The 27,099-nt window shown below is 42.9% G+C and overlaps 2 protein-coding genes and 1 pseudogene across 19 annotated transcripts in view, besides 3 other annotated features; 1 reads left to right on the top strand and 2 right to left on the bottom strand.

Annotated features, from left to right (window-relative positions):
- DRC9 (dynein regulatory complex subunit 9) overlaps positions 1-16,225 on the top strand; it is a 71,101-nt gene extending 54,876 nt beyond the window's left edge. For 6 of the 8 annotated variants that reach the window (XM_024453790.2, NM_001323028.2, NM_032263.5 and 3 more), the window contains 3 exons: positions 12,543-12,674; positions 13,755-13,856; positions 15,588-16,225. In XM_024453790.2, coding sequence (XP_024309558.1) covers positions 12,543-12,674; positions 13,755-13,856; positions 15,588-15,722 — 369 coding nt within the window. In that variant the 3' untranslated portion in view covers positions 15,723-16,225. Of the gene's footprint in view, positions 1-12,542; positions 12,675-13,754; positions 13,857-15,587 lie in introns of those variants that run through there. The other 2 variants (XR_007095755.1, XR_007095756.1) reach the window with 1 other exon arrangement.
- Positions 3,505-4,005: an enhancer, noted in NCBI's record as "H3K27ac hESC enhancer chr3:197628168-197628668 (GRCh37/hg19 assembly coordinates)". NCBI's record gives its function as "activates a minimal SCP1, AML or CMV promoter by ChIP-STARR-seq in primed H9 embryonic stem cells {active_cell/tissue: H9 hESC(primed)}" and the evidence as "EXISTENCE:reporter gene assay evidence [ECO:0000049][PMID:30033119]".
- Positions 4,989-5,761: an enhancer, noted in NCBI's record as "H3K27ac-H3K4me1 hESC enhancer chr3:197626412-197627184 (GRCh37/hg19 assembly coordinates)". NCBI's record gives its function as "activates a minimal SCP1, AML or CMV promoter by ChIP-STARR-seq in primed H9 embryonic stem cells {active_cell/tissue: H9 hESC(primed)}" and the evidence as "EXISTENCE:reporter gene assay evidence [ECO:0000049][PMID:30033119]".
- Positions 7,249-7,255: a mitotic recombination region, noted in NCBI's record as "NUP98-IQCG recombination region recombines with a sequence within the NUP98 intron 13 (IQCG) recombination sub-region of the nucleoporin 98kDa recombination region". NCBI's record gives the evidence for it as "EXISTENCE:nucleotide sequencing assay evidence [ECO:0000219][PMID:18084320]".
- On the bottom strand, positions 10,689-10,795 carry RNU6-858P (RNA, U6 small nuclear 858, pseudogene; annotated as a pseudogene).
- Positions 16,866-27,099, bottom strand: part of LRCH3 (leucine rich repeats and calponin homology domain containing 3) — a 97,211-nt gene continuing 86,977 nt past the window's right edge. For 6 of the 11 annotated variants that reach the window (XM_047449082.1, XM_047449081.1, XM_047449083.1 and 3 more), the window contains one exon: positions 16,866-21,761. In XM_047449082.1, the coding sequence (XP_047305038.1) occupies positions 21,636-21,761 (126 nt within the window). In that variant the 3' untranslated portion in view covers positions 16,866-21,635. Of the gene's footprint in view, positions 24,791-27,099 lie in introns of all 11 variants that reach the window. The other 5 variants (NR_158582.1, NM_001363887.1, XM_005269367.4 and 2 more) reach the window with 1 other exon arrangement.

Raw genomic sequence — 27,099 nt, 5'->3', positions numbered from 1 at the left:
GAGTCACATCAGGGGAATTGGGGTCTCCATCACCTTGAGCCTTTATCCTTTGTGCTACAAATGATCTCATTACACGCGTTTGGTTCTTTTTAAATTTACAATTAAATTATTGACTATGGTCGCCCTGTTTTGCTACCAAATGCTGGGTCTTATTCATTCTTTCTACTTTTTTGTACACATTAACCATCCCCACACCCTCCGCATCCCCCACTACCTTCCCAGCTTCTGGTAACCACCCTTCTACTCTCGACCTCCATGAGTTCAATTGTTTTAATTTTTAGCTCTCACAAAGAAGAACATGTGAAGTTTGTCTTCCCCTGCCTGGTTTATTTCACTTAACATAATGACCTCAGTTCCATCTATATTGTTGCAAATGACACAATCTCATTCTGGGCCGAATAGTACGCCATTGTTTATATGTCCCACCTTTTTAAATTTATTTATTTATTTACTCCTTTTTGAGAGGGAGTCTTGCTCTGTTGCCCACAATCTTGGCTCACTGCAATCTCTGCCTCCCAGGTTCAAGCAATTCTCCTGCCTCAGCCTCCCGAGTAGCTGGGACTACAGGTGTGCGCCACCACGCCCAGCTAATTTTTGTATTTTAGTAAAGATGGGGTTTCTCCATATTGGCCAGGCTGTTCTCAAACTTCTGACCTCAGGTGATCTGCCTCGGCCTCCCAAAGTGCTGGGATTACAGGCATGAGCCACCACGCCCGGCCCCACCTTTTCTTTATCCGTTCGTCTGTTGGTAGACACTTACATTGCTTCCAAATCTTGGCTATTGTGAACAGTGCTGCAATAAACATAGGAGTGCAGACATCTCTTCCACATCTAATTTCCTTTCTTTTGGGTATATACCTAGCAGTGGAATTGCTGGATCATATGGTAGCTCTATTTTTAGTTTTTTGAAGATCCTCCAAACTGTTCTCCATAGTGGTTGTGCTAATTTACATTTCCACCAACCAATACCGTACCAGGATTCCTTTTTCTCCACAGCCTTGCTAGCATTCATTATTGCCTGTCTTTTAGATACACACCATTTTAACTGGGGCGAGATGATGTCTCGTAGTTTTGATTTGCATTTCTCCGATGATCTGTGATGCTGAGCACCTTTCTATATGTCTGTTTGGTGTTTGTGTGTCTTCTTTTCAGAAATGCCTATTCAGATCTTTGGCCCTTTAAAAAAAAAAATATATATATATATATATATATATGTATGTATATATATATGTATGTATATATATATATGTATGTATATATATGTATGTATATATATATGTATGTATATATATATGTATGTATATATATATGTGTGTGTGTATGTATGTATGTATATGTTATACACATAGAGAGAGAGAGAGACAAGATCTCACTATTGTTGCCCAGGCGGGCCTTGAACTCCGAGCTCAAGCATTCCTCCAGCCTAGGCCTCCCAAAGTGCTGGGATTATAGGTGTGAGTGACTACACTCGGCCCTTTTGGCCCATTTTTCACATTATTAGATTTTTTCCTATAGACTTGTTTGAGCTCTTCATATATTCTGTTTATTAAACCCTTGTCATATAGGTAGTTTGCAAATATTTTCTCCAGTTCTTTGGGTTGTCTTTTCACTTTAATTGTTTTGTTTGCTATGCAGAAGCCTTTTATATTTTATATATTTATTTATTGAGACAGAGTCTTGCTCTCTCGCCCAAGCTGGAGTGTAGTGGCACAATCTTGGCTCACTGCGACCTCCGCCTCCTGGGTTCAAGAGATTCTCGTGCCTCAGCCTCCCAAGTAGCTGGGACTACAGGAGTGCACTGCCATGCCCGGCTAATTTTTGTATTTTTAGTAGAGGTGGGGTTTCACCTCTGGCCTTGAAGTCCTGGCCTCAAGTGATCCACCTGCCTCAGCCTCCCATAGTGCTGGGATTACAGGTGTGAGCCACCACACCTGGCCTGTGCAGAAGCTTTTTAACTTGATATGATCCATTTGTTCATTTTTGCTTTGGTTGCTCGTGCTTGTGGGGTATTACTCAAGAAATCTTTGCCCAGTCCAATGTCCTGGAGAGTTTCCCCAGTGTTTTCTTTTAGTAGTTTCATAGTTTGAGGTCTTAAGTTTAACTCTTTAACCAATTTTGATTTGATTTTTGTAAATGGTGAGAGATAGCTGTCTAGTCTAGTTTCATTCTTCTGCATATGGATATTCAGTTTTCCCAGCACCATTCATTGAAAGGACTATCCTTTCCCCAGTGTTTGTTCTTGGTACCTTTGTCAAAAATGAATTCAGTGTAGATTTATTGATTTGCTTCTGGGTTCTCTATTCTGTTCCATTGGTCTATGTGTCTGTTTTTATTCCAGTACCATGCTGTTTTGGTTACTATAGCTCTATAGTATAATTTCAAATCAGGTAATGTGATTCTTCCAGTTTATTTTTACTCAGGATAGCTTTGGCTATTCTGGGTCTTTTGTGGTTCCATATAAATTTTAGGATTGTTTTTCTATTGCTGTGAAGAATGTCATTGGTATTTTGATAGGGAGTGCATTGAATCTGTGGATTGCTTTGGGTAGTAATGTACATTTTAACAATATTGATTCTTCCAATCCATGAACATGGAATATCTTTCCATTTCTTTTATCCTTTTTTCTTTTGTCTTTCCTGTGTATTTTCAAATAGCCTGTCTTCAGGCTCACGAAGTCCTTCTTCTGCTTGATCACTTCTGCTCTTGAGACTCTGATGCCTTCTTCAATATGTCAATTGCATTTTTCAACTCAAGAGTTTCTGCTTCTTTTTAATTATTTCAATCTCTGTTAAGTTTATCTGATAGATTTCTGAATTGTTTCTCTGTGTTATCTTGAATTTCTTTGAGTTTCCTCAAAATGGCTATTTTGAATTCTCTGTCTAAAACGTCACATATCTTTGTTTCTCCACGATTAGTCCCTGGTGCTTTATTTCATTTGTTTGGTGAGGTCATGTTTTCCTGAATGGTCTTGATGCTTCTGGATGTTCATCGGTATATGGGCATTGACGAATTACGTATTCATTGTAGTCCTTGCAGTCTGGGTTTATTTGTACTCATCCTTCTTGCAAAGGCTTTCTAGGCATACGAAGGGACTTGAGTGTTGTGGTCTAAGCCGTACCTCATTAGGGAACACTCCAAGCCCCTAATTCTGTGGTTCATGCAGACATGTAGAGGTATCACCTTGGTGGTCTTAAATAAGATCCAGAAGAATTTTCTGGATTGCCAGGGAGAGACTCTTGTTCTTTTTCCTTACTTTCTCCCAGAGTCTCTAACTCTTTGCTGAGCTACCTGGAGCTGAGAATGGGGTGACACAAGCCCCCTGGTGACCACCACCACTGGGACTGTGCTAGGTCATACCTGAAGCCAGCACAGCACCTGGTCTCACCCAAGGCTGTAACCACTACCTGGCTACCACCTATGTTCACTCAAGGCCCTAGGACTCTACAATCAGCAGGTGGCGAAATCAGCCAGGCTTGTATCCTTCCCTTCAGAGTGGCCAGTCCCCCCAGGCCCTGGGCGGGTCCAGAGATGCTGTCTGGGAGCCAAGAGCTGGAGTCAAAAACCTTAGAAGTCTACCTTATGCTCTAAACTCCTGCAGCTAAGCTGGCCTTCAAGCCACAAGACAAAGTCCTTCCTCCTCTTCCATCTGCTTTCCACATGCGGAGGAGCCGCTGCTCATGGCCACTACTACCACAGGCCCATGGAGAGTGCCGCCAGGCTACTGCTGATGTTCAGCTAAGGCCCAAGGACTCTCCAGTCAGTTTGTGGTGAATGCTGCCAGGCCTGGGACTTACTCTTCAGGGGAGTGGGCTACCCTCTTGCCCAGAACAGGACCAGAAATGCCATCCAAGAGTCAAGGCCTTGGGCCGGGGGCGGTGGCTCATGCCTATAATCCCAGCGCTTTGAGAGGCTGAGAGGGGTGGATCACCTGGGGTCGTGAGTTTGAGACCAACCTGGCTAACATGGTGAAACCTGGTCTCTACTAAAAATACAGACATTAGCCGGGCATGGTGGCAAGTGCCTGTAATGCCAGCTACTTGGAGGCTGAGGCAGGAGACTCGCTTGAACCCCAGAGGTGGAGGTTGCAGTGAGCCAAGATCGTGCCACTGCACTCCAGCCTGGGTAACAGAGTGAGACTCCATCTCAAAAAAAAGAGTCAAGGCCTGAACTGGGGACTCCAAGAGCCTCTTGGTACTCTACCCCATTATAGTTGAGGTGGTACCTAGGGTGTAAGACAGAGTCCCCTTTTACTTTTTCCTCTGCTTTTCTCAAGCAGGAGTCTCTCACCATAGCCACTACCATGTCTTCGAAGGCAGCACATCTCAAGAGTCTCACCCAAGGCCCATGGTGTACCCCTGTGGACCCCTGCTGGTTATTCAGGGCCCGGGGGCTCTTTCGTCAGTAGATGATGAATCCTGCCAGGACTGGGCCCTCCCCTACAAGGCAGTGGGTTCCCTTCTGGCCCAAGGTGTGTCTAGGAAGGCCACCCAGGAGCTAAGGCCTGGAGTGGGGGCCTCATGACTCTGCCCAGAGCCCTATTCTGCTGTGGCTGAGCTGGTATCCTCTGCCCAGTGCCCTATTCTACTGCGGCTGAGCTGGTATCCTCTGCCCAGAGCCTTGTTCTGCTGTGGCTGAGCTGGTATCCTCTGCCCAGTGCCCTATTCTACTGTGGCTGAGCTGGTATCCTCTGCCGAGTGCCCTGTTCTGCTGTGGCTGAGCTGGTATCCTCTGCCCAGAGCCTTGTTCTGCTGTGGCTGAGCTGGTGTCCTCTGCTGAGTGCCCTGTTCTGCTGTGGCTGAGCTGCTATCCTCTGCCCAGTGCCTTGTTCTGCTGTGGCTGAGCTGGTGTCCTCTGCCCAGTGCTCTATTCTGCTGTGGCTGAGCTGGTATCCAAGATGCAAGACAAAGTCCTCTGTACTCTTCCCTCTCCTCAAACAGAAGAAGGGGAAATCTCTTTTAGAGGCTGCACTGCCTGAGGTTGGGGGATGGGTGACACAAGCACTCCCTTAACCACCATGGCTGGTGTCTCACTAGGTCCAAGTCCCCCAAGTCCACAGGCACCAGGACCAGGGCTTGCGTAAGGGTTGTAGAGGGTCGTAGTCCTCCTGGCCTAGACCGCCTTTCAAGTGTATTGAGGACCCCAGAGCGGCGTAGCCCGAGATGCTGAGGCTTGCTGGGACTCGGGTCCCACTGCTAGGCTGGGCGGTTCTCCTCTGGCTGGGGCTGGTCTCAGTGCTCCCTCCATGGGTGGGCGTCACCCGAGTTCAACCCGGTTTTGCTTTTTCCACTGTGACGGCAGCACTGAGTTCAATGCACATCTCAGGTGCCGCGCCCGCCCTCCCACAGCTGCTCAGATCCTACCCGTGCCGTGTGGCTGCTGCCAGGGGGTGGAGAGTGTCGTCAGCAATTCAAAGCCGTCTTTCCTACCCTCTTCAGTGCCTCTTTCAGCAAAACGAAGTTAAAACCAGGTACTGCGATTGCTTACCTGATTTTTGGTTCTTATGAAGGTGCTTTTTTGTACAGATAGTTGTCAAATTTAGTGTTTCTGGGTGGTGGGGGGAACTATCAGTGGAGGCTTCTATTTCGCCCTCTCACTCTGCACAGCCTCTGCTGCATTTTCTTTCTACTGATTTTCATTTTTCTTTTTTTCCTTTTGATATCTTATCTCTCCCTTATTTTGTGTTGTCTTGTGGCATTCTTGGGTAAACACAAGATCAATACCATGGATTTTTAAAATTTTTCTTTGAGACAGGGGTTCTCACTGTGTTGCCCAGGCTGGTCTTAAACTCCTGGGCTCAAGCAATCCTCCCACCTCAGCCTCCAAGGAGCTGGGATTCTAGGTACCTGCCGCCACAGCCAGCCTAGACTTTTACTTTGTGTTTATATATTCCACAAGTGAGATTAACCTGTAGGTGTATTTTTTGGTGCTGCTTTGTTGAATTGCTGTCAGAGTTATGCTTGGCAGCGTGAATTGGAAGCTTTCCATCTTTTTATGCTCTGAAACATAAAAACAGAAAACAAACCAGATTATTATTATGATTTTATTTTTTAGCTAATGCCTTCTTCAGTGAAAACATTATCTATTCCTTGAAGCTTGATAAAATTCAATCATAAACAATTTTGTCTGGTTATATTTAATTGGAGCTATTTGGCTACCTTTTCAACTGTAAAAAAAGGATTATTGATCTTTTATCTCTTTATGAGTCTTTTTTGTAACTTACGTCTCCCTAGAAAATAATCTGTTTCATCTAAACACTGATTTCAAATTTATTAGCATAAAGCTATGCCCTATAGTTTTTTTTACAATTTTAAAAAGTCCTTTATTTCTGTAGTAATGAAATCATTTTCATTAACTTTTTAAAAAGATGTGCCTTCTTTCCTTTTTTCTTACTGAAACTTGTTGAAGGTTTGACCATTTTATTGATCTTTACAAAAACACCATCTGATATGGTTTGGTTCTGTGTCCCCACCCAAATCTCACCTTGAATTGTAATGATCCCCACATGTCAAGGGCGAGACCAGGTGGAGATCATTGAATCATGGGTTGGTTTCCCTCATGCTGTTCTCGTGATAGTGAGTGAGTTCTCACAAGATCTGATGGTTTTATAAGGGGCTTCCTCCTTCGCTCGGCACTCGTTCTCTCTCCTGCCATGATTGTAAGTTTCCTGAGGCCTCTCCAGGCATGCTGAACTGTGAGTCAGTTAAAGCTCTTTCCTTTATAAATTACCCAGTCTCCGATATGCCTTTATCAGCAGTATGAGAACAGACTAATACACCATCTTTTGCTTTTCTTGAGCAAATCTGCTTTTTCTCTACCACACTGGTTTTTGTTTTGAGTAATTTTCTTGCACTTTCTTTGAGTTTATGTTGCTAATCTGTCTAGTTTCCTAAATGTTCAATTCATTTATTTTCACTTTTTTATTTTCTAGTAAATGCATGTAAACCAATATATTTTCTGAGTACTATTTGGCTGTAATTTACAGGATCTGATATATAATGCTTACATTGTCATTCCTTTCCAAATGATTTTTAGTTTATAATTTGTTATTTCCTTTGTAACTCAAGAATTATTTAAAAGGGTGTTTCTTAAATGTCTGGGTACTTGGAGGAGGTGAGGGAAGAGCGTAGGCTTCCTATTCCTCACAACAGCCCCGTCACTGGAGGTTCTATTCTTACTGTCTTGCATTGTGGTCTCAGAATGTGAAATGTAAGATTTATGCTTGGCTGGGCACAGTGGCTCATGCCTGTGATCCCAGCACTTTGGGAGGCCGAGGCAGGTGGATCACGAGGTCAGGAGATCGAGACCATCCTGGCTAATATGGTGAAAGCTCGTCTCTACTAAAAATACAAAAAAAAAAAAAAAAATTAGCTGGGCGTGGTGGCGGGTGCCTGTAGTCCCAGCTACTCGGGAGGCTGAGGCAGGAGAATGGCATGAACCCGGGAGGCGGAGCTTCAGTGAGCAGAGATTGGGCCACCGCACTCCAGCCTGGGCGACAGAGCGAGACTCTGTCTCAAAAAAAAAAAAAAAAAAAGGTTTATGCTTGTTGGAATTTGTCAAGCTCTTATTCGGATTTATGGTTATGGTCAGACTATGTAAATATTCCATGGGTGCTTGAAACAGTGTGCAATCTCTGTTACAGACAATATTTTATAAATGTCTATTAGTCTAGCTGTCAGATTTTTCATTTTGTTACTTATTTTGGCTTACCTGACCTATTAATTTCAGAGATGTGTGATAGTTTCCTAAGATGATTGTGGATCTGTTAATATCTTGTACAGAAATTATTTCTAATAATGTTTGCTTTATATATATTCTAAAATATGTTATTACAACATAAAAGTTCCATCAGCAGCTATCTTGGGCCTGAGGCAAATATAAATAAACAGAACCAAAAAAAGAATATAGCGGTTCATAATTGTAATATCTAGAATTTGTCTTTTATTAGTATAAAATATCCCTTGTCTCTCTTAATTATATTTGGCTTGATTGATTTATATTTTGCCAGATATTAATTGTCAAACCTGCTTTCCTTTTGCTCTGGTTGTTTTATCTCTTTTTGAGTCTTTTTTGTAACTTACGTCTTCCTAGAAGATAATCCATTTCATCTAAACACTGATTTCAAATTTATTAGCATAAAGCTATACTGTATAGTTTTTTTTTTACAATTTTAAAAAGTCCTTTATTTCTGTAGTAATGAAATATTTTTCATTAACTTTTTAAAAAGATGTGTCTTCTTTCCTTTTTTCTTACTGAAACTTATTAAAGGTTTGACCATTTTATTGATCTTTACAAAAACACCATCTGACATGGTTCGGTTCAGTGTCCCCACCCAAATCTCACCTTGAATTGCAATAATCCCCACATGTCAAGGGCATGTAGTTCTCTAAGTAGTTCATAGCTGGATTTTTTTTGAAGGGGAAAGAAGTTTTTCTTTCAGAGGGTAGTACAGTGGGCTCAATTTTTACATCACCCAAATCCATATGTTGAAATCCAAATTCCCAAGGTGATAGAGGGTGAAACTCTAATGAATAAGATTAGTGCCCTTAAAAAAGAGACCTCAGAGAAATCCCTTTCCCATTCCGCCAAGTGAAGTTACAGCACAGAGATGGCAGTCTAGGAAGCAGGCACTCACCAGACACGGGATTTGCCAGTGCCTTCATTTGGGACTTCCCAGCCTCCAGAACTGTGACAAATCAATTTGTTTATGAGCCGCCCAGTCTCTGGCATTCTGTTATAGCAGCTGGAATGGACTAAGACAAAAGGATTTACCCCAGCTTACTTTTATTGTGATTTTTCATTTGTTTGTAATTAATTTATATACTTTATTTTGTTTCCTTCTTTTCTTGGATTGATAGAATTTTTGTTGTTCAATTTTTTGCCAAACTCTAGTTATTTGCATGCCATTCTCATAGTTTTGTAATATCTGTATACCACCTGTTACTTATTAATTTTTTTTTTTTAACGGAGTTTTGCTCTTGTTGCCCAGGCTGGAGTGCAATGGTGCGATCTTGGCTCACCACAACCTCCGCCTCCTGGGTTCAAGCATTTCTCCTGCCTCAGCCTCCAAAGTAGCTGGGATTATAGGCATGTGCTGCCACGCCCAGCTAGTTTTTTGTATTTTAGTAGAGACGGGGTTTCTCCATGTTGGTCAGGCTGGTCTCAAACTCCCAACCTCAGGTGATCTGCCCGCCTTGGCCTCCCAAAGTGCTGGCATTACAGGTGTGAGCCACTGCGCCCAGCCTTTTTTTTTTTTTTTTAACTTTTCATTTTTTTTCTGACAATGCATCCCAGTTGCAGTAATTACTTAATTTTTTTTTTTTTTTTTTTGAGACAGGGTCTTGTTCTGTTGCCCAGGCTGGAGTGCAATGGTGCAATCTCAGTTCACTGCAACCTCCGCATCCTGGGCTCAAGTGATCCTCTTGCCTCAGCCTCCCAAGTAGCTGGAACTACAAATGCATGCTACCGTGCCTGGCTAATTTTCCTATGTTTTGTAGCGATGGGGTTTTGCCATGTTGCCAAGGCTGATCTCAAACTCCTGGACTCAAGTAATCCACCTGCTCGGCCTCCCAAAGTGCTGGCTGGGATTATAGTGTGAGCCACGGCACCCGGTCAATATTTTCTACCTAAATACTCACCTAAACAGATAAATCAATTCATTTTAAATTAAGATTTTTATATCATTACTATAAAAGGAAAAACCAGTATCACCTTCCATAAATAGAAATTAGTATAAATAGGCTGGGCATGGTGCCTCACACTTGTAATCCCAGCAATTTGGGAGGCTGAAGTGGGTGGATCGCTTGGGAGTTTGAGATCAGCCTGGGCAACATAATGAGACCCCATCACTACCAAAAAATACAAGAAAGTAGCCGGACATGGTGTTGCACACCTGTAGTCCCAGCTGCTGAGAAGGCTGAGATGGGAGGATGACTTGAGCCCTGGAGGTGGAGGCTGCAGTGAACTAAGATTGTGCCATTGTACTCCAGCCTGGGTGACAGATCCAGACCTTATCTCAAAGTAAATAAATAAATAAAATAATGTAAATAGAATTGCAAAAAATACCAAATGATGTTATTACCTTGTAGCCAGACCTTTTTGCCTGTCTGGAGCCTGTTCCCTCTTTGTTTTTTTTGTTTGTTTGTTTTTGTTTTTAAGTGTTAACAAGAGGAAGAAAGAGAAGATGTAAGAGATGTGACAGCACCAAACTGACATGTTGTTCTAACATAATCAGATTTTTTTTTTTAAGAGACTGGGTTTCATTCCATTGCCCAGGCTGGAGTGCAGTGGCGTAATCATAGCTCACTGCACCCTCAAATCCTGGGCTGAAGTAATCACCCTGCCTCGGCTCTGAGTAGCTGGGACCACAGGCGCCACCACACCTGGCTAATTAAAAACATTTTTGTAGAGATGGGGTCTCACTATGTTGCTCAGGGTGGCCTCAAACTCCTGGCCTCAAGCAGTCCTCCCACCTCTGCCTTCCAAACTGCTGGGATTACAGGCACAAGCCACCCCGCTCAGTGTAATCGCAATGATTGACTATAGCCATGTTTTTAAAAAATTCTATGCTATGTGCCACCTAAGGAACTTCTCAATGTTTCACTCTTGAGGTGCATCGTCCCCGAGTCTGAAAGTTACACATTTCTGTTCTTTTAGGGGTAACCTTTAAATTTTTTGTTTCTAGAAAGTACACAAATATGGAATGCTTCACGAATCTGTGTGTCACTCTTGCGCAGGAGCCATGCTAATCATCTCTGTATTGTTCCAATTTTGGTATATATGTTACTGAAGTGAGCACAACTCTTAAAATGTTAACATATATTTTTATACTTTTAGAATTTCTCTGTCGAGAGTTAGTCAATGTTTATACCTTCTTTTGCCTTTATTAAGGCAAAGAGACTTCACTTACCTCTTCTCTCGCTCTTCATCCCATGTTGAAGTCATTCACTTTATATGTAAATATATATAGTGATAATATATATGCAGATATTATGTATATATATGCGCATTGTGGGTGGACTTCACAAGGATTATTTCAGCATCACAACAACCCTCTGAGGTTTGTACTATGACTGTAATAGTAATACTGTATTATTGGCTAGGTATAGAATTTTATATATGAGGGAACCAGAAGCTTAGAGAATTTAAGTAAACTTTCTTTCAGTGCCAGAGTTGTGCTCTTTCAACTAGACTATCCTGCCTACTTTGGGATTTTAATTCTGAATTATGATTTATGATTAAAAACTATCACATAGCTTAAATACATGTTTTACTGGTTCTCTTCCATTTCTTAATATATCTCTTTCATTTTATTTTGCTACAGTAGTACATCCTTGAATAACTCTCTCAGAAATATTGAGTATAGTCTTTCTTTCCTTTACATTTGAATGCTGGGTTGGCTATGTGTAGAATCTTTGATTCACATTCACTTGCTTTTCTTTCTTTTTCTTTTTTTTTGAGACGGAGTCTCACTCTGTCACCCAGGCTAGAGTGCTGTGGCGCAATCTTGGCTCACCGCAACCTCTGTCTCCCGGGTTCAAGAGATTCTCCTGCCTCAGCCTCCCGAGTAGCTGGGATTACAGGTGCCGGCTACCATGCCTGGCTTTTTTTTTTTTTTGTAGTTTTAGTAGAGGCAGGGTTTCACCGTGTTAGCCAGGATGGTCTCGATCTCCTGACTCTGTGATCTGCCCACCTCGGCCTCCCAAAGTGCTGGGATTCCAGACGTGAGCCACTGCGCCCGGCCCTACATTCATTTTCTTTTAGAATTTTGAATACATTGTATCCTTCTTGACTAGGATTTAGTGCTGTCAATCAAAGAGAGATCCGATGCTATTCCTTATCCTTCAGACTTTTCTACATACCTTTTGTTTCCTCTTCATTGCAACTTCCCTTATCCAGACATCTAGATTACCCTCCTCCCCCTATTTTTTTTTTTTTTTTTTTTTTTGAGACGGAGTTTTGCTATTATTGCCCAGGCTGGAGTGCAATGGCGCGATCTGGGCTTACCGCAACCTCCGCCTCCTGGGTTCAAGTGATTCTCCTGCCTCAGCCTCCCTAGTAGCTGGGATTACAGGTATGCGCCACCATGCCCAGCTAATTTTGTATTTTTAGTAGAGACGGGGCTTCTCCACGTTGGTCAGACTGGTCTCGAACTCCTGACCACAGGTGATCCGCCCACTTCAGCCTCCCAAAGTGCTGGGATTACAGGCGTGAGCCACCGCGCCTGGCCCCCTATTTTAAAATTCACTAACATACAAGTAAAATGTGTAAGTACTTAGTGTATAGTTTGATGAACAGTTATGTATACACATTCATGTAACCACCACCTGGATAAAGATACAGAGAACATTTACAGCATCCCAAAGTCCCCCTCACCCCCATTCCCAATCAGAAATCCAACTCTCCACCCAGGTAAGTAACTACTGTTCTGCCTTCTCTCACTATGGAATGTTCTGCTTAATCTTGAAACTCGTATAAGTGGAATCATACAGTATACAGCGTTTTGTGTCTGCTGAATGCCATGTTTTCATGTTCTTTCCAAATAGAAACTTGAGGAGAGGCTGGAGTTCTGGATGGAGAAATACGATAAGGACACAGAAATGAAACAGAATGAACTAAATGCTCTCAAAGCCACAAAGGCCAGTGACTTAGCACACCTTCAAGACCTGGCAAAGATGGTAAGGAAGGAATTAGGGCGCTCACTGAGGACAGAGTGAAAGGAATTAGGGTGCTCACTGAGGAGGGAGTGGAAGGAATTAGGGCACTCACTGAGGAGGGAGTGGAAGGAATCAGGGTGCTCACCGAGGAAGGAGTGGCAAATAGGCCACAGTAGCTGGGTATTGCTATTTGGGGTCAAAAGTAGAGGTGCGCTTATAAGCCACCAGGATTCTTTTTAGATGCTGCTGCTGCTGACGGGGACAGCTGCAGTAGCTAACTTACGTAGTGCCTACTCTGTCCAAGGTGCTACCCACACAGCCCCTTGAGACAGATACTGTGATTATTCTTAGTTTATGACCTCTGGAGAGAGTCAGTGATGATTTCTAACAAGCTTGTGATTATGGTTTCATTATGGAATAAATGCAGAACTTCCTAAATTTCTTTCAAAAGTCAGCTACTGCTGGGCATGGTGGCTAACGCCTATAATCCCAGCACTTTGGGAGGCCGAGGCGAGCAGATCAGTAGAGATCAGGAGTTTGAGACCAGCCTGGGTAACATGGCAAAACCCTATCTCTACTAAAAATACAAAAATTAGCCATGCATGGTGGCACGTGGCTGTAATTCCAGCTATTCAGGAGGCTGAGGCACAAGAATCACTTGAACCCAGAAGGCGGAGGTTGCAGTGAGCCAACACTGCGCCACTGCACTCCAGCCTGGGTGACAGACAGAGTGAGACTCTGTCTCAAAACAAACAAACAAACAAAAAAGACAGCTGACTACTTGTGTATGTACATTCTCCCAAAGTTTAAAAAACAATCCATATTATTTTGAGATCATTGATCACACATTAATTCATATTTCATTTTTTATAAAAGATAGAATTTAAATTTGAATTATTAAAACTGAAAAAGTTTTGGGAACAATTATAAAGTTAATATGTGAATATTTACCATCTAGGAATCTATTACATTTTTTTCTTTGGTTTATCTTTAGATTGAGCATGTTTTATTTTGAAATTTTATATTAAAAGTGCAGGGCTGGCTGGGCTACAGCTTAGCCAAGAGAGTACTATAATAAATGATGAATGTCTATCTTTGCAGATAAGAGAGTATGAACAGGTCATCATTGAAGATCGTATAGAAAAGGAGAGGAGCAAGAAGAAGGTAAAACAGGATCTCTTGGAATTAAAGAGCGTTATAAAGGTAAAGAACCATAATCAGTATCTCGCCACAGCTGGCTTAACACTGAGGAACACAAAAGCATTTCCAATTCATTATCAAACACATCTCAGTATATCAAGGAACTGCAGATCTGAGAAGAAGCATGGACTTTTGTTATTATTAGAATTTGCCAACAGTCCATGGTGCAGGGAGACAGTTAACATAGAAAAGGACGTGCCCCCAGCTCTTCATCTGGGGAAAAAGAGGTGGTTAGCAGCGGAAGCAAAACCTAGGCCAAGAGACGAAATATCAGATTACTATGTCTAACCAAAACCAGCTCTTGACAGAATGATTCTTTTTAATATCCTTCTACTTCTTAAAATCCTGCTTATACATCAGCCCAGACTATCTGCTGGGTTCTGATACAAGCTGCTTAGGTGGGAAGGATAAGCAGCAAGTTAGAAAAAAATAGAGATATTTTAGTTTTATGTGAACTTGTGTGTCTCAGTGATGATGAAACTGGCAGGTCACAGATCACGTGAAATACTCGCAAGCAAAAACTGAAAGCTGGACGGCACCTGTCTGGAGCTGGCCCTTCTCTCTGAAGGTCGAGGCCCTAGTGGGTACACTGTAGTTTGGGTTGTATATTAGGGTGATCTAAAATAGTTAAGTTTTATACCACATTCTGGACCAGGTATCCAGACCCAAAGTTGGGCTTCCCATAAGGAGTCAGATGTGTAAGTAGCAAGTATTTATCAAGTTTCAATGGTGTTTCCCCATAAAACTTGTCAGTATTCCTGAATTTACAACAAACATGTTAAGAACGAGCTGAAGAGCACGTTTGCTTTCTTTTCACTAGTGGATTTGCTTCCAGTCTTTAGGGTTTAGTCTGACTTTAAAGCAGTAGAGACCGTATTGAGAACAACTGTTATCTAAAACCAAGATATTCAAGAAAGCTAACTAAATCTTTTTTAAAAGTACTAGGACAACTGATCTTTTAAGCAATCACTAAAGATATGAAATGCACAAGCAAGCCTATGAAAGTCATCTAGACTTATCTGTGCTTTTCTTTTTTTTTTTTTTGAGACAGCATCTCACTTTGTCACTCAGGCTGGAGTGCAGTGGCGCAATCTCTGCTCACTGCAACCTCTGCTTCCCGGGCTCAAGAGATCCTCCTGCCTCAGCCTCCCAAACAGCTGGGACTATAGGCACAAGCCACCAGGCCTGACTAATTTTTTTTCTTTTTTGTATTTTTGTAGAGACAGGGTCTTGCCATGTTGCCCAGGCTGGTCTCAAACCCTTGAGCTCAAAGTGATCTGCCCACCTCAGCCTCCCAAAGTGCTGGGACTACAGGCATGAGCCACCGCACCTGGCATTATCTGTGCATTTTTGGCCGAGTGCTTTTGCCCTTGGCCCAGGTAACTAACATTCTTTTTGGTTCAAATAGCTGTTAAGTATGGGGAACCTGGACTTTCCTCAAGGAAAGCAGTATAAGGAAGTCAGATTTCTACGGGTGAAGAAAAAATAGGTCAAATCAGATTCCTTTTCTTTATTTTTACTTGAGAACTTCACTCTTGAGTCCATGGCTTAAGCTCCGGGTCCTGCACGACAGGAGAGCATCGCTGAAGTGATTACGTGCCTGGCTACTTCCATGTCCTGGAGAGAGACTGTTTGTCAGACAGAAGTTACTTTATTCAACAGTCCCTTTATGTGGAAAGAATGCAGCTTGTCAGGCATAGCATACGTCGTACTCACTCCCCTTTTCTCTTCCAGCTCCAGGCCTGGTGGCGAGGCACTATGATACGGAGAGAAATTGGTGGTTTCAAGATGCCTAAAGACAAAGTTGATAGCAAGGATTCAAAAGGCAAAGGTAAAGGCAAGGATAAGAGGAGAGGCAAGAAGAAGTGACCAAGTTCTCTTTTGTGTTTTCTGCTGGTATTCTGGAGGTGGGAAGGACTTGGAGAGAGTTAAGAAACACCTGGTACCTCAAAGATGACTCATCTACAGGTTGTTTCCTATTGAGACTTTCCCAGGGAAGCCTGATTTCACTTTGCCTGTTAATTTCACTCTGCCTGTTAGGTGGGTTTTCAAACCCTGATTTAGGATTACACCATTGACTTAGGGCTTCCTCATACCTTGCTGGGAAGAAGTTTCTAGTAGTCCTGTGAAGATTCATTCTTCTTGCTCTTTCTCAGCAGAACAAAGGAGTTCACTGGCTTAGCTACAGTGACGCATTGAAACTTGAGTAATTCCTGTAATGTCAGATTTTGATTTTACCCAATTTGTCTGTAGTGAAAAAACTCTTATGAGCAAAAGTATTCAGTAGGAATTACAATATGATGTTATTAGCTGTCCAGCATAATATATACACAGCAAAGTTTTAATAAATGTTGGTTCCTGCCTGCCTTTTAGATTTATCGTCACTTTGGTGTTTTTATTCAGGTGAAAATGGCATGGAATACATATCCAGTTGTAAGCTGCTTCAGCAACTTTTCTAGGAAACAGGGATACAAATTATAAATACAAGCTAGAAATAGGATGTTAGGATATACAACTTTACAAACTATAAAGATGGGGACACAGGTTCTCTGGAAGGCTAGTTTGGAGATATTTTTGACAAGTGAAACACTAGAGCCACCAATCCCCACTTTATGGAGTGTTAAGATGAAAAGAAATCAGGTGTGTGAAAATATCTAACTTGTGCCTGGCAAATAGGAAAGCTGTCACTCTCCCTCTTCTCCTAGAAAAAAAATGCACCCACCAGATCATGCTTGCCTTGATGAGTCAAAACAATGCCTTGGGATGCTAAAGGTTTCCAAGAGCAAAGTTGTCCTAATGTGTCACATACATTTCATGAATTAAGCCTTCTATCTAACTCCAAATAAAGCTCAGTCTTGATATCTGTACTTCCTTAAAAAATGAATTTGATCTCAAAAGTTTGTCCCGAAGCCCCCATTTCCACTGACATTCCCTCTGGAAATGAGATGCTCTTTCCTTGATTCACCTTTGCCAAGGGAACCACACCTCAGGTATGAACACGCTCCAATCAGCTTTTATTACACGCCACTGAAGTGTTGGCTTTTATTTGAATGTCAATGTGTAAAGTGGCGTACAGGCAATTTAAAATAACATACATGATACTGACATATTTATACTTAGAACTTATGCAATATATTTACAGACAAAAATACAGGACAATGTTTTACAAAATCTTTCACTAATTACATGTTTACAACATTTTCAGAAATAAAACGAAATTTGCTGTAAACCATCTCAACTGCACTGTGTATATAGAAAGGCTTCTAAATATCCATGTTTTCATTTCTATAACCATTTAAGCGCTTAGTTTTTACGAATTCATCAAACTCATTCGCATAGTCACACATCATTAGTCACTGCTGAGCTGTAGAAAGTAAGAGAAATCGCAAACTCCTTGATTAGCTGTATTTTAAAAAGCTCTTCAGAAAAGTGATCTACTACTATGCTCTGTGTTCTAGCAGAATACAAAGGCCCCTCTTTCCATGGGTCGTTTCCAGACCTGGCTATTACAAGAGAACACTGGAGTGCTAAACACAGATTATGAGTCTGAAATACTGGGAAACTGCTGACAGAAAATCTCTGTACGTGGCAAGGGCTCTGCTGGGGGTGGCTCTCAACCCGACACTGTCAGTGATGGGAAGGGCTCTGCTAGGGGGGGCTCTCAGCCCCAGACACTGTCAGTGATGGGAAGGGCTCTGCTGGGGGGCTCTCAGCCCCAGACACTGTCAGTGATGGGAAGGGCTCTGCTGGGGGGCTCTCAGCCCCCAACACTGTCAGTGATGGGAAGGGCTCTGCTAGGGGGGGCTCTCAGCCCCAGACACTGTCAGTGATGGGAAGGGCTCTGCTAGGGGGGCTCTCAGCCCCCAACACTGTCAGTGATGGGAAGGGCTCTGCTGGGGGGCTCTCAGCCGCCAACACTGTTCAGTGATGGGAAGGGCTCTGCTGGGGGGCTCTCAGCCCCCAACACTGTCAGTGATGGGAAGGGCTCTGCTGGGGGGCTCTCAGCCGCCAACACTGTTCAGTGATGGGAAGGGCTCTGCTGGGGGAGCTCTCAGCTGCCGACACACTGTCAGTGATGGGAAGGGCTCTGCTGGGGGGCTCTCAACCCCCAACACTGTCAGTGATGGGAAGGGCTCTGCTTCAGGTCAGGGGAGCTGTGACAAGGTCATCTTCATCTTACACTGGAGTCAAGCAAAGCTAAATGTTAAACCGAATTGTGCTTTCCAATTTAAAAAAAAAAAGGTACATACAAAATACTGAATACAAAAATTCTCCCAACAAAAGCATCATGATTTGTTTTTGCATCTTGACATAAAAAAGAAATTCATACCTTCCTACCTCTGCAGAGGGTTTGAAAAAAGAGAAAAAAAATTCAAAGCATTTGATATTTTTCCTTCAATTATCAGCCAAAACTGCACATGGTTTTTCCTAACAATTCAAATACAAATCTGATTTAGTTTGATAAAAATACATTAATAAGGTTTCATAATATGTGCAAAATTTGAAATAAGTTGAAATTTCCATTTATCCCTATGGGAAAATTAGTTGCAAATGTTGCAAGTATTGCATTATGTAATGTCTTCTAGAATTATTCCTTGCATAGTATATTTTTGGTTTGGTGGGTTTTTTTTTTTTTTTTTTTTTGAGACAGAGTCTCGCTCTGTTGCCCAGGCTGGAGTGCAGTGGCACAATCTCAGCCCACTGCAACCTTCGGCTTCCAGGTTGAAGCGATTCTTGTGCCTCAGCCACCCAAGTAGCTGGGATTACAGGTGCCCACCACCACGCCCAGCTAATTTTTGTATTTTTAGTAGAGACAAGGTTTCACCATGTTGGCCAGGCTGGCTTGCGTATGTTAAAAACAATCCTGTCCTTTGCTGAATTTCATTTCTGGTGGCATATAATTTGGAGACTGTACTGAGGCTTAATGTTGACAAACACAGTTTAAAAATGCACATGGCTAAATTCTAAACAAGTTATATAAGGGTATATAAGAGTTGGTGGGTCTGTTGGGAACTGTAAATATAATGGGGTCTTACATAAAGACATTTTACTTTTGTTCTATAAGATTGGGCATTGAAGTTAGATGTTGTACAATTTATTTTTAGAGATGGGGTCTCACTCTGTTGCCCAGGCTGGAGTGCAGTGGTGCAGCCATGGCTCACTGTAGCCTCAACCTCCCAGGCTCAAGTGATCCTCCCACCCCAGCCTCCTGAGTAGCTGGGAGTACAGGCAGGTGCCACCACACCTGGTTTTTTTTTTTTTTTTTTAATTTTTGGGAGACAGGGTCTTGCTATGTTGCCCAGGCTGCTCTCAAACTCCTGGGCTCAAGTGATCCTCTTGCCTCGGCCTCCCAAAGTGCTGGGATTATAGGCATGAGCCACCATGCCCAGCCTGTTATACAATTTTAAACCTGGTCAAGTGGTAATGTTCTGATGAATTTGTTTCTCTGCAAGAACAAGGAAGAAAACATTACTTTGACCAGGTATTCAACATGATTTGATCCAAAGCTACTTTTAGATGCTACATTTACCTGATAAAAAGAGGGATAACATTATGCCCAAATGGATGCATTGTAAAGAAAATCCAGAACAGTTAACAACTACAGAAACAAAAGAGATATCTTCCGCTTACTTTATTTACTTGTTTTACAAAGGCAGTGAACACCAAAGGATATCACCAACAACTAAAAGGAGTTCAAAATGCAGGGGAAGGAAAACTAGCTGAAACTTGAGTAAAGGCTCCTGTGCGGTGTGAGCCCTTGGGCCCTTTTCCTCCACCCATCATTGAGTATATAAAGGCGCTTGTGGTGGAGCGAGATGGGGCGCGTTTTCTTTTTTTGAGATGGAATTTCGCTTTTGTTGCCCAGGCTGGGGTGCAATGGCACGATCTTGGCTCACCACAACCTCCGCCTCCTGGGTTCAAGCAATTCTCCTGCCTCAGCCTCCCGAGTAGCTGGGATTACAGGCATGCACCACCACGCCCAGCTAATTTTGTATTTTTAGTAGAGACGGGGTTTCTCCATGTTGGTCAGGCTGGTCTCAAACTCCCAACTTCAGGTGATCTGCCCGCCTCAGCCTCCCAAAGTGCTGAGATTACAGGTGTGAGCCACCACACCCAGCTAGGAAGATGCTGTAAGTGCTTAAATTCAGCCACAGAAACTGGCAGTTACCTGAAAGAAATACAAGAAACTAGGCTTTTCCGAGCTAGAAGTGTATGTGCTGTAACTGCAATGTGTCTGCAGGCCCAGATGTCTGAGGAGCAGCAGGAGGGCGGGGAGGGAGGCTCAGTGAGACCAAGTGCGCTATCAGCTTCAGAATTTGGAAACTCTGTATAGAGAGAGGGCTTGTTGTTGATAATGTCTAGATAACGGGGTTTGGAACCTGTGTATAGAGGGCTTGTTGTTTATTATAATGTCCAGATAACAGGATGACATAGAACTATCTTCTATGATGGTATGACTGCAGTTGAAGGGAGGCCTAGAATACTGACCTTAAATACAACTCTATCTGTTTCACTGTTTTACTATGCAAAATCTGGGCCAGGCCCGATGGCTCACTCCAGTAATCCCAGCACTTTGGGAGGCTGAGGCGGGAGGATCAGTTGAGCCCAGGAGTTTCAGACCAGCCTGGGCAATACGGCAAGACCCCAACTCTTAAAAAAAAGAAGACTATGCAAAACCTAGGCCTTCTATATTATTTTTGTTTTGCCTTTGACAGAACAGTCCAACTCCTCATAATATAGCTTTTGATTTTAAATGTGGGTGAAAAATGCAGGGGGCCATTACCCTCCCCCGCAAACATACAAATATCTAGCTTTGAACAGTGGTTCCACTACATGAAAAACACGTGCAATGGGCCGGGCGCCGGGCGCAGTGGCTCACGCCTGTAATCCCAGCACCCTCAGAGGCCGGGCACAGTGGCTCACGCCTGTAATCCCAGCACTCTCGGAGGCCGGGCGCGGGGGCTCACGCCTGTCATCCCAGCACTCTGGGAGGCCGGGCACAGTGGCTCACGCCTGTAATCCCAGCATTTTGGGAGGCCGAGGCAGGTGGATCACTTGAAGTCAGGAGTTTGAGACCAGCCTGGCCAACATGACAAAATCCCATCTCTACTAAAAATACAAGAAAATTAGCCAGGCATGGTGGCGGGCACCTGTTGTCCCAGCTACTCGGGAGGCTGAGGCAGGAGAATCGCTTGAGCCCGGGAGGCGGAGGTTGCAGTGAGCTGAGATTATGCCACTGCACTCTAGCCTGGGCGACTGAGCAGAACTCCTTCTCCAACAAAAACAAAAACATGTGCAATGGTTGTTGAAAATGCAGATTCCTAGGCCTTACCCCAGCTCTACTGAATGTGAATCTGTATTTTAACAAATACTCCAGGAGAGTCTAATGAACAACCAAGTTTAGAAACCAGCAGACCAGTTGTCTTGAGACCAGGTAAAAACAATGGCACAGCATGCTTGTGCCTAACACAGAAGATGTGCTTTCTGGCACGTGAAACACGCCTGCTCTCCAGGAAAACACAGCCAAGTTAGGTGCTGGGTTTTCAGTAAGAGAAGTTTCATCTGAGAAAACCAATGGTGTCTTCGTAAAAAAATTCAATGGAAATGGAAATAACCTCCCCTAAAATGGAGAAATGAAGCAAAATATTCCTGTTAGGAATCATGGGAACGGTCCCTTCTGAGAACACACAAGAGCTTTGTTTAAGCAGACAGCTGGCAGCAGCAATCACGGTGTCCTGTTCCTTGTTTTGGCCAGGCCAGTGCCCACCGTCCTGGGGATCCTCAAACAGCAGATAACTGGTGCTGCTGTTGCTTGGGTGGGGCAAGTTCCAGGAGAGCCTGGACCGTCACTGCAACCTGGCTCAAACCTTTCTCTTCTAAAATGTGGAGAGGCAAACATAATTGCTCCTGAAAGGGACAACGTAACATGAAAACAAACAAAAAAGAAAATCGGATGAATATCATAGAACTGAAAGGAAAAAATAAGCACTTCTCCCCTTCACAATCATCAACTTAGATATGAAAATTAGTACCTGGGAAACTGACCTCAGTGTAAATATGAGTTAGAGAGATGGTGTCTGACACTCACTGTCACTTTATTAATACAACTAAAAGTACATACAGATCATTTTCAAAATTGGAAAATTGACAAGTAGCATATATCTATACATACAACAGAGGGAAAACAATACCGCAGGGTGAAAGCAACATCCTTTATCCCTGATGAATAAAAGGTCAATACAGGTCTATAAAATAGGCAGGTGAAAAATAGAAAAACAATTCCACGCTACCAGATGGCTCAAGAGTAAAAGATACTACACTTGAGGGTAAGTTCCCTACCACAAGAATGAAAGATAGTTTGAAAACATAACTCAGCCTGCATGAGTTCTACGCTATCTGCATTATAATCCTGACTGTGAAAACCAGGGTTTCCAGACCAGATAGGGCAAGAAACTCAGTGTATCCTGAGCTCTTGAGAAACTTCCCCCTAATTTGAATAATTCATGGAAGGGCCTGTCTGAATTAAAAATCTGAATTACAGAATTAAAAGCAGTATTTGAAAATGTAAAGGATTTAATATCCTGGTATTTAACAGCCTGAATTATTCCAGGGAACTACTATGTAAGCTTAGGCAGGAACATGTTGATTACCAACATGTGAGAAGTGTTGACACTGTTTGCTTGAGGAAGTTAAACGCTTCCTTAATGTGTGCATCGTTAATTTGTTAGGTTAACCCTTTCTTGTGAGAGAAAAAGGCAAATCTTAAGAACAGCATTTATCACTAGCTTTCTGTTAAGATTAAATATTCCAAAAAGAAAAGAGATTGCTCTTACAAAGAACAGAATATAGAATTCTGGTGCCACTAAAAAAAGATTATATATGTTTGTTAAAACAACTAGTTGGGTTTTTTTGTTTTTTGTTTTTTGTTTTGCTTTTCATTGAGACGATATTACTAGGAAATTTTATAAAACCAGTTACAATAAAATATATAACAAGTATTTTTGAGGCAGTTATTGGTACTTGTGCTTACTTTTTATTTAATACTTATTTTGATAAAATGAGGTAACTGTAATCTTTTGATCTAAAAAAACTAGCAACTTTGTAGAAATACTTTGAGTGCAACTGCAAGTCTAGATAAATGATACTTAAAATGAACCTGCCCAGTGTTTTGCTGTCGGAAGAGACGTGCTTTCTCCAAGGCTGATTCCCTGGTCTCTTCCTCTCAGCAGCGCCCTAGGACCTGCGCGGCCGGTGTTCACACTCAGAAGCCTGTGCTTTCTGGGGCACCCTCACCTCCCAGCTGGACTAGAGGGAGTGCCGTGTGTTCTCAAGAGAATGTACAATTACAACCCCTAAACCACATGAGAGCCTGTGTGTGTTTTTTAACAGGTGTTTCAACTCTGAGACATCTTAAAAATATAACCAACCCAATTCCCCAAAGTCTGAAAGGCACCTACTGACACAGAAAACTGAAGTTTTCATCATCACAGTGTTGAGTGTTTCAGCATTAATAGTGAACAGTCTTTTGACCTGTGAAAATAGCTGTCCCATTTCATATGGAAGAAAACCAAACCAGTGAGCCCCTCAGGCTGAATTCTACACCCAGATGTTATGCTCCTCCCTCAGGCTGAATTCTAAACCGGATATTATGCTCCTCACAATCTCTCTTCACACTTGAGTTCATCCTTTATCCCAATTTTGTTAACAGAGTTCAGAAGGTTCCTGAATATTCAGAAACACCACTTATGAAACTAGAATCTAACCGCAATTATAGTTTCCAGCATTAACGTCTAGCAGCTAAGTGCTACGCATTCTGAAAGAGCTAGACAATATTCACTGCCTTGAGCACAGAACAGGGACTGCTGCCCTAATACTTCTCCTGCTACTGTTTCACTATTAAGAAGGTTTGAATATGTTAGAAATCACATAAATTCCAAATTTAAACAGAATGCTGGGAGTGAACCTCAGTCACACATAACAAACACAATCTGGAAGGTGCCCACCCTGAGAGGCCAGCTCCAGCCCATCTGCTCGTGTGCAGCACATACAGCGTATAGACTGGGCTCAGAAGAGCAGTCTAGGGAATGTGGGTGATCTTCAAACTGAACATTCTGACCAAACTAAAATTATTAAAATTATGGCCAATACCTTTGAAACGTCCAGACCGCAAATGCTTATATGGACCTGTGCCTACCGACAAAGCGGGGATTCAGGATCTCAGGACACAGTTCAAAGCAGAAATCTAAGTAACCGGGTGCGGCCAAAACCAGAAAAGGCACGACGGTTCTCCTCGTGAGCAGCTGCTGCAAAGGTTCAGTCACTCCACAATTCAACACTTGTGCTGAGGCACGGAAAAATGGCCAGATGGGAGTTGTATTGTGTGACTTGGAAATAAAGCTCTACATGTCATATTCGAAGTACAAGTTCAGAATTGTATTAGTAAAAATGCTTCAGCATTTATGGTAAGAGAAACAAGGCCACAGGCCAGGAGAATGGACGGATGACCAGGAGAAAAAATGCTGGTCTTTTACTCTTTGTTAGCAATCGTAAATGTTTACTAATGTGAGGGGGTGCTCATCTGCAAATATAAAGAAAGGATTTACCTCCTTTATGGGTTAGCTCTTTGAGGGCCAGCAGGGAGAAAAAGCACTTATGTAAATAATTCTGGATGAGAAACAAACCTCCTTTACCAAGCACAGGAATGAGGCAGAAAGTCACCGGAGTGCAATCTTTCAGCGAGCGGGGAAGAGCCAGTAATAAAGCACACAGAGAGTTAACATCACAGTACAGTAAAATGCCACAAAACCCAGAAGCTGCAGAGAGAGACAGACAAAACTGGATTCTTCTGAGTGTGCCCCAAGAGAAAGGAGCGTTTCAACAGTTCTTTTAACGCTGAGGTTTAGCTGAAGGATGTCGGAAGGGGAACAAAGATTGTCCTGTCCAAAGTGTAAGCAGGAAAGGAAAACAGAAAAACAAAGTCAGTGGATCAGAAATGCAGATTTGAGTATAGAATTCATATGATCATCTCAGTCATATTCACATATACACATCCTGTAACATTTTTACATTGAGGAACAAAAATAAAACGCTGAAAACCCAAACTACAAAGAATCTTCTCCATGCTGAGCCTGATCTTACTACTAAATAGCAGAATAAAATTCGTTTGTTGGTGACTGGTCTGAACATTAAGAATACAATACACAGGCCGGGCGCGGTGGCTCACACCTGTAATCCCAGCACTTTGGGAGGCCGAGGCGGGTGGATCACGAGGTCAGGAGATCGAGACCATCCCGGCTAACACGGTGAAACCCCGTCTTTACTAAAAATACAAAAAATTAGCCGGGCGTGGTGGCGGGCGCCTGTAGTCCCAGCTACTCGGGAGGCTGAGGCAGGAGAATGGCGGGAACCCGGGAGGCGGAGCTTGCAGTGAGCCGAGATCGCGCCACCGCACTCCAGCCTGGGTGACAGAGCGAGACTCCGTCTCAAAAAAAAAAAAAAAATACAATACACAGAAGTGGATGTTGGTTTAGGGTCGTGTGAGGCCTGAATGTAGTGAGGTGTGTGTGAAGCAACCTCTTTCCTGACTCATTCTCCTCTATTTAAAAAAAAAAAAAAAGTAGGTCAGAAAGCAAGGACGAAAACTGCAGAGGCTGAGGAGACGGACGTTTTTGGAGAAAGCCATGTACATCAAAAAGGTTCAAAGACTGAGGAAAGCCTCATGATCCGGGGGTAATTTACTACCCAGAAGCCAAATGCATTCAATGACTTGGCATTCCTCTAAAAATCAGAGGGTGTCTGTTTTATTTTATTTTTTTATTTTTTATTTTTTTTGAGACGGAGTCTCGCTGATCTCGGCTCACTGCAAGCTCCGCCTCCCGGGTTCCCGCCATTCTCCCGCCTCAGCCTCCCGAGCAGCTGGGACTACAGGCGCCCGCCACCACGCCCGGCTAATTTTTTGTATTTTTAGTAGAGACGGGGTTTCACCATGTTAGCCAGGATGGTCTCGATCTCCTGACCTCGTGATCCGCCCACCTCGGCCTCCCAAAGTGCTGGGATTACAGGCGTGAGCCACCGCGCCCGGCCAGGGGGTGTCTATTTTAACCAAGTCCAGCTCGAGAATGTGTTCAAAATGAAGGCAGAGCTGTTAAGGGCCTCAGAGATCATCCAAACCCTCCATTTTACAGATTGCAAAATTCATTAAATAAATACAAGAATGGACTTGACAACAGGGAGACAGACATCCTTTAACACATAACATAACGACTCTGGGACAAAAGATACTGGACTCAGATACAAGTTTTTAATCACCCATTACAGTTTTTTTGAATGTAGCATATTGAATAGAAGCATAAAAATAAAGCAAATACCCACATGCCCAATGTCATCAGAGGTTTTTAATAACTGCCTTGTTCTTCAGTATTTCACTCATACTTTAACTTGTACAACACTTTAAAAGTTACACAGAGAAGGGAAATTATTTGTCTTTATCTATCTTACCTGGGTATAGAATCTGACAAAAATATTTGTAATATTGTTTTCTGTTTTACATTTTCAAAAGTGGTCATTATTACATTCCCAATGTTCAAGTCACACAGAGCAAAGTGGGGATGTTTAAGTAAAGGCCAGAATGACCTGGAGACCAGGAGAAAAAGGAAGACGAGGAGGTAGAAGTTTCTTCTCTTCCTCTGGCAGAGGGACCTCAGAAGGCTAGTTTGAACCTACGAGTTTGTGCGTTTATTCATTTTCTTTCACTTTGTTCTAGACAGATGACTAATTTTTCAGCAGAAGTAGCAGCTTGCTAGGAAGCCGTGTAAAACTGGCAGTGGTTGTGGTGGGGACGTGGGTGGGAGGTGGAAGGGGAGAAGGAAGGGGCAGCCTATGGGAACGTCCATTTCCTCTTTCTGGTGACGGAGAAGGAGGGAGGATGCATCAAAACCTCAGCCTAACCACTCTGGAAAAAGACCCAGTCTTTTAAAACTGTATTTTTTTTTTCTTCGTACTTGCCTTCCAACAGCACAGCTCTGGTAGGAACAGGGGCAGGCTGGCCCATAACAAACATGGTCAACCACTGCATGCAAATACCAACTTAAATGTGTATTTTAAGGCACACTGTTTTGTACTTTGTTGGCTGATGGTGGGAACATCCTGAAATAATTCCAAGGTACGGACTTTAAATCTCAGAGACCCTCAGAGGATGCTTCCGAAAGCCCCGCGGACAGGCTTAGACCTTTCAACAGGTTTTGAC

The sequence above is a fragment of the Homo sapiens genome, chromosome 3, assembly GCF_000001405.40.
Source record: "Homo sapiens chromosome 3, GRCh38.p14 Primary Assembly".
Classification (NCBI taxonomy): domain Eukaryota; kingdom Metazoa; phylum Chordata; class Mammalia; order Primates; family Hominidae; genus Homo; species Homo sapiens.
The sequence above is the reverse complement of the archived record's forward strand: the minus strand, read 5'-3'. Positions and strand labels throughout refer to the sequence as shown.